This window comes from Homo sapiens, chromosome 5 (genome assembly GCF_000001405.40).
Source record: "Homo sapiens chromosome 5, GRCh38.p14 Primary Assembly".
NCBI lineage: Eukaryota > Metazoa > Chordata > Mammalia > Primates > Hominidae > Homo > Homo sapiens.
In genome coordinates, this window is record NC_000005.10 from 97586951 (window position 1) to 97600687 (window position 13737).

The 13737-nt window shown below is 34.9% G+C and overlaps 1 long non-coding RNA gene across 1 annotated transcript in view; it reads left to right on the plus strand.

Moving 5' to 3' along the window:
- Nucleotides 1–13737, plus strand: part of LINC01340 (long intergenic non-protein coding RNA 1340) — a 166356-nt gene that overhangs the window by 82255 nt on the left and 70364 nt on the right. The window lies entirely within an intron of this gene.

Below are 13737 nucleotides of genomic sequence, written 5' to 3' on the forward strand. Positions count from 1 at the left end.
GGGGGAAGGTACCCAGAATGAAAGGGTTGGGGAGAGATCCCAAAATGACAGAGAAACCATTCTCTAGCTTTCCTTTGTGAAACTAGTGAAACCTGAAAGTCTTGCGCAGAATCTGAATCTCTGCATCCAATGTGGTAATTAGTAGCAATGGTTTAAGAGGTGTCTTATCAGTGGACCTGAAAGCTACAAGAGCCCTTTGCTCTTCCCCCTTGATGTGGGAGGGAGTCCAAGAGTATCATGTGTCTCCAAGAGGGATTTGGATATGGCTGGGATCCACAAGGCAATCCTGGGTAAGCCTCCTGCTAAGAAGGAGGCGGAAGGAGAATAGCCTACATAGACTTGGCACGTAAAAGCAAACAGTGATGAGGCAAGGAAATGTGATTACTGGAGTCTGGTGTAGATATTAGTGCATGTCAGTAGAAGCCAGCCTGGACAAATACCCTTCCACATGGCCCAGACACCTCCCTCTAATGCCAGGATGACATAGAAGAGCCCCAAGAACTTAGGTCAGTCATCGGAAGAAGAAAAGGTAAAGAGGGAATGTGGATTAGCAGGATGAGGAAAGGCTAGATTTTAGAATTCTCAAGTAATTGAATATGTACCCCTCAGTAAATGAATTTTAAGTTTGAAATAACTGAGTTTAACATGAATTGGCAAATTTAATTTTTCCACTAGAGAGGAAATAAGAAATTTAAAAATTTATATTTTCACATAATCTTAGCTTTTGACTCTGAAATTTGTAACTACTATGTAATCAATCTTACATGAAAGGAATCTTACATGAAAAGCTTTGTTCTTTTTTCTTTGTTTTAATCAAACAATATGTAGTAGCTATTTCTTTATGAGAGGACCTATAGATGTTCAACATCCTTCTTAATGAGTGTGCAGTACTCATTGTATATTTGTCTAAAAAGTCTCCAAGGTAGAACATTTGATTTGTTCGTATGCATCATTTACCCTTAATACAATTCCAAGAATTCTCCTTGCAGTTGCAAAGAGGGTAGTTTTTATAATTATTTAGTTAGACTATAATTTTCTACATTTGTTTTACTTTAAATAGGCTAAATTTTTATAGTTTGAGAAACCTTTCACAGATTGAATGTTATGACTAGAACTTTTCTTATTGTTTAACCATAATATCTGAATATTTTTCATGTATTTTATTTTAGTAGATATTCATTTTAGCAGATGCCAAATAGGTTCACCTATGTTATTTTCCCCATAGTTCCCTATTTTCTAAAACAAAACATAATGAGAAATGGAATTCTGCTGTGTAACTCTGTTATAAGCCCTCAAAGAAAAATTCTTATTCCTTTAATTTATATTATCTTATTTTAGTATTGTTATTATATTAGTTAGTACAAATAAGACTTACCTAGAATTTAAAACATGTAAGGAAAACAAGAAATGTTTTATACATGATATGAACAGAGTATGATTGTGCTAACTTAGAGAAAAGAGGCTGCAGTGCTTGTACAGATAATTCACATATTAAAGTTTGGCAGATTTCATAAAATAGGAACATGGTATATATTATTACATATAATATATTTTACTTTATATGAATCTCAATGTTATATAATATGTAATGTTATATACTATTACTTTTTAATTTTATTTTTAATTGACATATAATAATTATATATATTTATGAGACACAATGTGATGTTTAGATATAATTAATTTCTTTGTGGTAAGAACATTGAAGATCTCTTTTAGGTATTTTGAAATATACAATACATTCATATTAACAATAGTCACCTTGCCAAGCAATATAACACCAGAACTTATTTCATCTATTTAATTATAACTTTGTACCCGTTGATCAACATCTTGCTTTCCCTATTTACCCACCCCCTAGCCTCTGGGTAACCACTACTCTATTCTCTACTTTTATCAGTTTTTAGATTTTACATATAACTGAGACCATATATTTGTCTCTCTGTGCCTGGCTTATTTTACTTAACATAATATCCTCTAGTTTCATCCACTTTGTCAAAATGACAGAATTTCCTATTTTGTTAAGGCTGAATAATATTTCATTGTGTATATATACCAAATATTTTAAATTCATTTATCCATTGATGGACATAGCTTGTTTCCATATCTCAGCTATTGTGAATAATGAGGCAATGAACATGGCAATGAAGATGTCTCCTTTGGCATACTGATTTTAATTCTTTTGGGTTATACCCAGTAGTGGGATTAGTGAATTATATGATAATTCTTTTTTTTTGAGGAGCCTCCATACTGTTTTCTAAAGTGGCTGTGCTAATTTACAGTGCCACCAACAGTATATGAATTTCCTTTCCTCCATATTCTTGCCAACACTTATCTTTCATCTTTCTGATTATGGCCAATTTAACAGGTGTAAGGTGATGCTCATTGTGGTTTTAATTTGCGTTTCTCAGGTGATTAAAGATGTTGAGCGCTTAAAAATATATCTGTTGGCCATTTCTGTGTCTTCTGTGAGAAACATCTATTCAAGTCCTTTGCCCATTTTAAAATAAGGTTATTTATTTTCTTGTTATTCAATAGTTTGAGTTCCTTGTATATTTTAGATATTAGCCCCTTATCCAGTGTATTACTTGCAAATATTTTCTCTCCATCTGTGTCTTGTCTTTTCATGCTACTGTTTTCCTTACTATGCAGAAGCTTTTGAGTTTGATGCAATCCCATTTGTCTACTTTTGCTTTGGTTTCCTGTGCTTTTGGGTTCATATCTAAGAAATCTCTCCCCAGATTAATGTCATGAGACTTTTCCCACTATGTTTCTGTCCAGTAGTTTTGTAGTTTCAGATCTTATGTTTAAGTCTTTAATTCATTTTGAACAGATTCTTGTTTAAGGACTGAGATAAGGTTCATTTTCATTGTTTTGTTTATGGATATCCAGTTTTCCCAATATCATTTATTGATGAGACTGTTCTCTCCCTATTGTGTGTTCTTGGTAGCTTTGTTGAAAATCAATTGACAATAGATGTATGAGTTTATTTCTAGACATTATATCTCATTCCACTGACTGATATATGTTTTTATGCCAGTACCATGTGTATTTATTATTATAGCTTTGTAATATATTTTGAAATCCAGTAGTGTGATGCCTCCAGCCTTGTTCTTTTTAGTCAAGATGACTTTGAATATTTGGGGTCTTTTGTGGTTCCATAGGAAGTTTAGAATTAAAAATTTCTGTAAAGAATGCTATTAGAATTTTGATAAGGATTGCATGGAAGCTGTAGGTTGCTTTGGGAAGTATGAACATTTTAACAATATTAATTCTTCCAATCCATGAACATAAAATATCTTTGCATGTATTTGTGTCCTCTTCAATTTCTCTCATTGCTGTTTTATAATTTTCAGTACACAGATCTTTCTTCTCTTTGGTTAAATTTACTCCTAAGTATTTTTATGCTCTTGTAAATGAGGTTGTTTTCTTAATTTCTTTTTAAGACAGCTTGTTGTTAGTATGTAGAAATGCCACTATTTTTTGTAAGTTGATTTTGTATCCTGCAACATTACTGTGTTCCTTTATTAGTTCTAACTGTTTTTTGGTTGAATCTTTTGGATTTTCAATATATAAGGTCATATTGTCAGCAACAGTAATAATTTCACTTCTTCATTTCCTATTTGGATGCCTTTTGTTTGTTTCTCTTACCTAATTGCTCTGGCTGGCACCTCCAGTACTGTGATGAACAGAAGTGGTGAACATGGGCATCCTTGTCATGTTCCTGATCTTAGAAAAAAAGCCATTAACTTTTCATCATTGAGTATAATGTTAGTTGTGGACTTGTCATATATGACCTTAATTGTGTTGAGGAACTTTCTTTTATACCAAATTTGTTGAGAAAGTTTATTATAATATGATGTTAAATTAAAAAAATGCTTTTCCTTCACCTATTGAGATGATCATATTGTTTTTGTCCATTCTATTAATATGGTGAAACACATTTATTGATTTGCATATGTTGAAGCAACCTTGCATTCCAGGGATAAATCCCACTTGATCATGATAAATGATCCTTTTATGATACTGTTGAATACAGTTTGCTAGTATTTTGTCGAGGATTTTTGCTTCTATGTTCTTCAGTGATACTGACCTGTGACTTTCTTTTCCTGTAATGTCTTTGTCTAGCTTTGGTATTAGGGTAATTTTGGCCTTGTAAGATGAGGTTGGAATTATCTCCTCATCTTTAATATTTCAGAGCAGTTCGAGAAGGATTAGTATTGTTTTTTCTTTAAATGTTGGCTAGAATTCAGCTGTGAAGCCATCACATTCTAAGCTTTTCTTTGATCAGAGACTTTTAATTACCAGTTTAATTTCCTCACTTTTTATTGGTCTGTTCAGATCTCCAATTTCTTCTTCATTTGGTCTTAATAGGCTATATGTTTTTAGGAATTTATCCATTTCTCTGAGTTGTCCAATTTGTTAGTTTATAATTGTTCATAATAATTTCAAATGATTCTTTATATTTCTGTGATGTCAGTTATAATGTCTCCTCTTTCATTTCTCATTATATGTATTTGAATCTTCTCTCTTTTTTCTTAGTCTAGCTAAAGGTTTTTCAATTTAGTTTATCTTTTCAAAAGATAAACTCTTAGTTTTATTAATCTTTTGTATTGTTTTACCAGTCACTATTACATTTACTTATGTTCTGATCCTTGGGGCCTAGTTTGTTTCCATTTTTCCTTGATGAATAACATTAGGTTTTTTATTAAATATCTTCTTTTTTTTTGATGTAGGTGTTTATTGCTATAAATTTGCCTCTTAGCAGTGCTTTCACTGCATCTCATAAGTTTTGGTATGTTATATTTCCATTTTCATTTGTCTAAGATATTTTTAAATTTTCCTTTAATTATTTCTTCTTTGAACCAACAGTTGTTCAGGAGACTATTGTTTAATATTCACGTTTATTGTTTATTCATCAGTTCCCCTCTTATTGATTTCTAGTTTTATACTACTATTGTCAGAAAAAAAATACTTGAAATGATTGCAATATAAAATTTGTTCAGACTTGTTTTGTGGCTTCACATATGATCTAACCTGGAGAATGTTCTGTGTGTACTTGAGAAGAATGTGAATTCTGTTGCTGTTGGGTAGAATGTTCTGTATATGTCCATTAGGTCCATTTGATCTAAAATGTAGTTTAATTCAAATGGGTGCTTATTGATTTTTTGCCTGGATGATCTTTTCAATGTTGAAAGCAAGGTACTAGCATACTCTACTATTACTGTGTTACAGTATGTATCTTCCTTCAGATCTCTTAATGTTTGCTTTATATTTAGGTGATTTGATGCTTGGCACATATATATATTTATATATAATATAATATAATATATAATTTATATATAAAATATAATATATATTATATATAAATATATATATTTACAATTCTTATATCTTCTTGATGGATTGACCCATTTATCACTGTTTAATAATCTTTGTCTCTTTTTACACTTTTGTCCTAAAATCTATTTTGTCTCAATTAAGTATAGTTACCTTTGCACTCTTGCTCTCTTTTTGTTTCCATTTCATGAAATGCCTTTTTCAATCCTTTCTCTTTCAATCTATGAGAATTCTTAAGGTGATGTGAGTCTCTTTTAAGAGCATATAGAGTCATGCATTGGAGATACTGAGGATTTTGATCAGACCATTGCAATAAGGTGAATGTTGCAATAAAGTAAGTCACAAAATATTTTTGTTTCCCAGTACATATCAAAATTATGTTTATACTATACTGCAGTGTAGTAAGTGTGCAATAGCACTATGTGTAAAAAAGTACATATATTAACTAAAAATACTTTATTGCTAAAAATTGCTAACAATGACCTGAGCCTTCAGTGAGTCATAATCGTTTCACTGGTGGAGAGTGATGCCTCAATATTGATGACAGCTGACTGATCAGGTTGGTGGTTGCTGAAGGTTAGGGTGGCCATAGCAATTTCTTAAAGTAAGACAACAATAAAATTTGCTGCATGGATTTACTCTTCTCTTCACAAAAAATTTTCCTGTAATGTGCAATGCTGTTTGATAGTATTTTACCCACCATAGAACTTTTTGCAAAATTGGAGTCAATTCTCCCAAACTCTGCCACTGCTTTATCAACGAAGTTGATGTACATTCTAAATCATTTGTTTTCATTTTGACAATGTTAACAGCATCTTAACAAAGAGTAGATTTCATGAAGAAACCACATTCTTTGCTCATACATAAGAAGCAGTTTCTAATCTGTTCAAGTTTTATCATGATACTGCAGCAATTTATTTACATATTCAGTCTTCACTGCTAATTCTAGTTCTCTTGCTATTTCCACAACTCATGCAGTTACTTCCTCCACTGGAGTCTGGAACCCCTCAAAGTCATTCAGTGATGTTTGGAAATTTTTTCCAAACCTTTTCCCAAATTCTGTTAATGTTGATATTTCACCCTTCTTCCATTAATCAAGAATATTTTTAATGACATATAGAATGGTGAATCTTTTTCCAGAAAACTTTCAATTTACTTTACTTGCATCCATCAGGGCAGTTACTATCTATGGCAGCTATAGTCTTATAAGCTGTATTTCTTAAATAACAAGACTTGAAGGTCAAAATAATAAGGCTTGAAAGTTAGGCTTGATAGAAGTCTTCTGTCTTGATTCACAGGCAACAGAATGGATGTTGTGTTAGGAGACATGAAAACAACATTAATATCCTTATACATCTCCATCTGGGTGACCAGGTGCATTGTCAATGAGCAGTAATATTTTAAATGAAATAGTTTTCACCTTGAGCAGGTCTCAAGAATGTGCTTAAAGTATTTAGTAAACCATGCTATAAATAAAAGTGCTGTCATCTAGGCTTGGTTCTTCCATTTCTGGAGGACTGACAGAGTAGATTTGGCATAATTCTTAAGGGCCTTAGGATTTTTGGAATGGTCAGTGAACATCGGCTTTAATTTAAAGTCACCAGCTGCAATAGCTCCTCACAAGAGAGTCAGCCTGTCCTTTGAAACTGTGAAAACAGGCTGACTTCTCTTCTCTAACTATAAAAATCCTATATGTCATTTTCTTCCAATATAAGGCTGTTTATCTACCTAGACCTTGAAAATTTGTTGTTTAGTGTAGTCACCTTTATCAATGACATTAACTAGATTTTGTGGATAACTTGCTGCAGCTTCTATATCAGCACTTGCTGCTTCACCTTGCACTTTTATGTTATGGACATGGCTTCTTTCCATAAACCTCATGAACCAGCCTCTGCTAGTTTCAAACTTTTTCTTGCATCTTCCTCACCTCTCTCAGCCTTCATGTAATTAAATAGAGTTAAAGCCTTGCTCTAGATTAAGCTTTGGTTTAAAAGAATGTTGTGACTGGTTTGATCTTCCATATACACTACTATAATTTTCTTCATATCAGCAAAAAGACTGTTTTGCTTTCTTATCATTAATGTGTTCACTCACATAGCATTTTTAATTTTCTTCAAAAACTTTTTATTTCCTTTCACAACTTGGCTATCCATTTGGTGTGAGGGGCCTGGCTTTGGCCTGTCTTGGCTTTTGATATGCTATCTTTAGTAAGGTTATTTCTAGCTTTTGATTTAAAGTGAGAGATGTGTGACTCTTCACTTGAGCACCTAGAGGTTATTATAGAGTTTTTATTTGCCTTAATCTCAATATTGTTGTGTCTCAGGGAATAGGGAAGTCCCAGGAGGGGGAGGGGCAGGTCATGGCCAGTTAGTGGAGCAGTCAGAATACACACCACACTTATCGATTAAGTTTACTATCTTGTATGGTCATGGTTTGTGGCACCTCAAAACAATTACAATAGTAACATCAAAATCACTGATCAGAGATCACCATAACAGATATAATAAAATGAAAAGTTTGAAATATAGCAAACATTACGAAATATGACAGAGACATGAAGTGAGCAAATGCTGTTGGAATATTGGTATTAATAGACTTATTTGATGCAGGGTTGCCACAAACATTCAATTAAAAAAAATAGAACCCCCAAAACTTACAATGTATTAGAAGCAAAATAAAGTGATATGCAATAAAATGAGGTAAGATTTTAGCTGGGTGTTGGTTTTGTGTGTGTGTGTGTGTGTGTGTGTGTGTGTGACAGAGTTTCGCTCTTGTTGCCCAGGCTGGAGTGCAATGGTGCGATCTCAGCTCACTGCACCCTCCACCTCCTGGGTTCAAGTGATTCTCCTGCCTCAGCCTCCCTAGTAGCTGGGATCATGGGCTTGTGCCACCATGCCTGGCTAATTTTGTATTTTTCGTAGAGACAGGGTTTCTCCATGTTGGTCAGGCTGGTCTCGAACTCCTGACCTCAGGTGATCTGCCTGCCTCGGCCTCCTAAAATGCTGGGATTACTGGGGTGAGCCACTGTGCCCAGCCGGGTCTTGTTTTTTATCCATTCAGACACTCTGCCTTTTTGTTAGCAAATGTAATCCATTTACATTTAAAGTAATTACTGATAAGCATGGACTTATTAGTGCTTGTTATTTATTTTGGTCATTGTGTAAATCCATTCTGTCTTCCTTTCTTTGTGGTTTGATGGCTTTCCATCGTGATAGACTTTGGATTTTTATTTTTAAAGAAAAATTAAATTTTTTTTATATTTTCATTTTCTAAAAACATTTTATTTATTTATTTTTAATTTTACTTAAAGTTCTGGGATACATGTGCAGAATGTGCAGGTTTGTTACATAGGTATACATGTGCCGTGGTGATTTGCTGCACCTATGGACCCGTCATCTAGGTTTTAAGCTCCGCATTCATTAGGTATTTGTCCTAAATCTCTCCCTCCCCTTGCTCTGCACCCCACAACAGGACCCAGTGTGTGTTGTTCCCCTCCCTGTGTCCAGGTGTTCTCATTGTTCAATTCCCACTTATGAGTGAGAACATGCGATGTTTGGTTTTCTGTTCCTGTGTTTGCTAAGGATGATAGCTTCTAGCTTCATCCATGTCCCGGCAAAGGACATTATCTCATTCTTTTTTATGGCTTCATAGTATTCCATTGTGTATATGTGCCACATTTTATTTATCCAGTCTATCATTGATGGCCATTTGGCTTGGTTGTAATCTATCACATAATCAGAACCAATGATAAAAACCACATGATTATCTCAATAGATGGAGAAAAGACCTTCGATAAAATTCAACAGCCCCTTATGTTAAAAACTCTCAATAAAGTACATATTGATGGAACATATCTCAAAATAATAAGAGCTATTTATGACAGACCCATAGCCAATATCATACTGAATAGGCAAAAGCTGGAAGCATTCCCTTTGAAAACTGGCACAAGACAAGGATGCCCTCTCTCACCACTCCTATTCAACATAATATTGGAAGTTCCTGCCAGGGCAATCAGGCAAGAGAAAGAAATAAAGTGTAGTCAAATAGGAAGAGAGGAAGTCAAATTGTATCCTGTTGCAGACAACATGATTCTATATTTAGAAAACCCCATTTTCTCAGCCCAAAAACTCCTTAAGCGATAAGCAACTTCAGCAAATTCTCAGGATACAAAATCAATGTGCAAAAATCACAAGCATTTCTATACACCATCAATAGACAAGCAGAGAGCCAAATCATAAATGAACTCCCATTCACAATTGCTGCAAAGAGAATAAAATACGTAGGAATACAGCTTACAAGAGATGTGAAGGACCTCTTCAAGGAGAACTACAAACCACTGCTCAAGGAAATAAGAGAGGACCCAAACAAATGAACAAATATTCCACGCTCATGTATAGGAAGAATCAGTATCGTGAAAATGGCCATATTGCCCAGACTAATTTATAGATTCAGTGCTATTCCCATCAAACTACCATTGATATTCTTCACAGAATTAGAAAAAAAAACTACTTTAAATTTCATATGGAACCAAAAACAGCCCATAGAGCCAAGACAATCCTAAGTAAAAAGAAAAAAGCTGGACACATCATGCTACCCAAAGGCAAACTATGATACTGGTACAAAACAGACATATAGACCAATGAACAGAGACTTCAGAAATAACACCACACCTCTACAACCATCTGATTTTTGAACAATCTGACAAAAAGAAGCAATGGGAAAAGGATTCCCTGTTCAATAAATGGTGCTAGGAAAACTGGCTAGTCATATGGAGAAAACTGAAACTGGACCCCTTCCTTACACCTTATACAAAAATTAAATCAAGATGGATTAAAAACTTAAATGTAAAACCCAAAACCATAAAAACCCTAGAAGAAAACCTAGGCAATACCATTCAAGACATAGGCATGAGCAAAGATTTAATGATGAAAACACCAAAAGCAATTGCAACAAAAGCCAAAATTGACAAATGGGATCTAATTAAACTAGAGAGCTTCTGCACAGCAGAAGAAACTATCATCAGAGTGAACAGGCAACCTACAGAATGGGAGAAAATTTTTGCAGTCTATCCATCTGACAAAGGGCTAATATCCAGAATCTATAAGGTACTTAAAAAATTTACGAGAAAAAAAAAGCAACCCCATCAAAAAGTGGGCGAAGGGTATGAACAGCCACTTGTCAAAAAAAGACATTCATGTGGCCAAGAAACATGAAAAAAAGTTCATAATCTCTGATCATTAGAGAAATGCAAATGAAAACCACAATGATATGCCATCTCATGCCAGTCAGAATGGTGATTATTAAAAAGTCAGGAAACAACAGATGCTGGTGAGGCTGTGGAGAAACAGGAACACTTTTATACTGTTGGTGGGAATGTAAATTAGTTCTACCATTGTGGAAGACAGTGTAGCAATTCCTTGAGGATCTAGAACCAGAAATACCATTTGACCCAGCAATACCAGTACTGGGTATATACCCAAAGGAATATAAATCATTCTACTACAGAGACACATGCACACATATATTTATTGCAGCACAATTTACAATAGACTTTGGATTTTTTAAAAAATATTTTGTTTTTATTATAGGCTTTTTATTTGTGGTTACCCCGAGGCTTACATAGAACATCTTACATGTATAATAGGCTATTTCCAGTTGATAACAAAAAATTTTTATCACATATACAAACTTTACACTTTTATTTCCCCTCCTGCCACATTTTATATTTTTGATTTCATACTTTATATCTTTTTATAATTTGTATCTCTTAATTTATTTTGGCCTTGGATGTTTTTAATTATTTTCACTTTTGACCTTTATCCTAGAAGTACAATTTATTTAGCCACTGTCATTACAATATTAGAGTGTTTCAGATTTGACAATGTATTTACTTTTACCAGTGCGTTTTATATTATACTTTTGTATATTTTCATTTTACTAATTATCATCCTCTTTCTCAGCTTGAAGAACCCCTTTAATCATTTTTTTTGTAAGGCAGGTCTAGTAGTGATAAATTCTGTCAACTTTTGTTTGTCTGAAAATGTTTTGATCACCCCTTTGTAAAAGACAGTACTGTTAGGTATAGTATTCTTGGTTGGCAGGTCTTTTTGTTTCCTTTTAAAATTTTGAATATATCATCCTACACCCTTCTGACTTGTAGTGTTTCTGCTGAGAGAGCCATTGATAATTTTATGGAGTTCAACACTCTCTCTTTGACTTTACCTTTTCATAATTTGATGATGTGTCTTGGTGTGAGTATTTTTGAATTTATCTTATTTGAGGTACTTTGAACTTCCTACTTTTGGCTTTCTGTTTTATTCCCCAGACTTGAGAAGTCTTTTGTCATTATTTCTTTGAATATGGTTTCTGTTCCTTTTTGCTCTCTCTTCTTCTGGCACATTAGTATTGCATGAGTTGTTCCTGTTGATGGCATTTTATGATTCTTAAGCTATCTTCACTCTTTTTCAATCTTTTTTCTTTTTGCTCTTCAGATTGGGTGATATCCTGTGAGCTGCCTTTCAGTTCACTCATTCTTTCTTCTGCTTGATCTAGCCTGCTCTTGAACACCTCTATTGAATTTTTCAGTTCAGTTATAGTATTCTTCAGATCTATGATTTATGTTTGATACTTTTTAATACTTTCTATCCCTTGTTGAAATTGTCACTTTATTCTTACATTACTCTCTTGACCTTGGTGAGCATTTTTATGACTGTTATGTTGAATTCCCTGTTGTGTAAATCACATGTCTCCACTTCACATAGGTCTGTTTTGGAAATTGATCTTGTTCTTTTGTTTTGAATATATTTTCTTCTTTCTTCATTGTTCTTGTCTCTCTGTATTGTTTTCTGTGCAGTAGAAATGATGACTACATCTACCAGACTTGTCAGACTGGCCTCATGTAGGAGAAGGATCTCACCACTCTATCTGACCAAAGATTTTAAGCTGCCTTTTACACTGGGTTTGTCCAGACTTGCTTATTTGTTTTTGGCAGCCCCCAAAGCTTAGGAGGTGTCACATCCTCTCAGTACCCTTAGACTGAAAATATAGGAGCCAGACACTCTAGATATAGCTGAAAAAGTAGAAGTGTTGGCTGTATGTTTTTGTTTCTTCTCTCCTCATCATGAAGCTGAGCATGGGTATATTTTCCACTCTCTCCTGTACGTACATTCAGTAGATGTACTATACATATATTCAGGCTGCAATTTCTGGTCCTGAGGAGGTAGTTGCTGGAAAGGGACTCATTGTGCATCTACCTCTTTGTTTTCTGTGGTCTAGGTCATTCAGAAATGCAAAACCCCATTGACTCCCAGAGGTACTTTGTTAAGGAGACAGTCCCTTGGGTGGGAGCTATAGAAGTTGTGGCACTCAGTGCATGACCAAACTCCTTCCAGGAAAAAATGGGTAGGCTTGGATTTATCACTAGGGTGAGCTGGAGAGGAGGCTCATGAAGTGCCCTACTCTGGCTGCCGAAGTATTATTGTTTGTCTGCACAACTAACTTCCTGATGTAAGTTTGTTAGAAGCCAAGCTGTCAAGTAGCCACTGGAAGTGTGTGCTGTAAGCTTCTTTTGGAGAGAAAATGGGAGCTGCATGACACCCCTTCATGTTTCTGGACTGCTCCAAGGGCTTGTAGTGGCTGAAAATATTTTCGCTCCTTGAAGACCACCTCTTTGTTTTGTGATCTATGGAGGCTTACATGTGCCTAGTCCTTTCTGCTCTGAGAACCAGGTGGTTTAGGATTGAGTCTTTGAAGAGGTAGCTGTAAATGTTGGGACACTCAATATGTGGCATAAATTTCTTCCAGGGAAAAACAGAGAGCTGCATTTTTTTTTTGAAGCCCATTTTCTGGACTGCTCCCAGGAGTTGAAGCCCCTGGAAGTGCTTGCATGCCTATATAAAACTTCTATTTAGGCTGGGCATGGTAACACATGCCTGTAATCCCAGCACTTTGGGAGGCTGAGGCGGGTAGATCACAAGGTCAGGAGTTCGAGACTAGCCTGGCCAATATGGTGAAACTTCATCTCTACTAAAAATATAAAAATTAGCTGGATACACACCTGTAGTCCCAGCTACTCAGGAGGCTGAGGCAGAAGAATCGCTTGAACCTGGGAGGCGGAGGTTGCAGTGAGCCGAGATTGCACCACTCTACTTCAGCCTGGGTGACAGAGCAAGACTTTGTCTCAAAAAACAAACAAACAAACAAACAAAAAAACCAAACTTGTACTTTATTCTGTGGTCTATAAAGATTTGCATATACTTTGTCCCCACTGCTCCCAGAGCTGTGAGGTTTAGGATGCAGTCCTTTGAGTGGAAGTGGGAAAAGTTGGAGTGCTTGATGTGTGGACAAATGCCTTCCAGGAGTTTAATGGACTTGGCATTATCCCTTGGGTGAGTCATG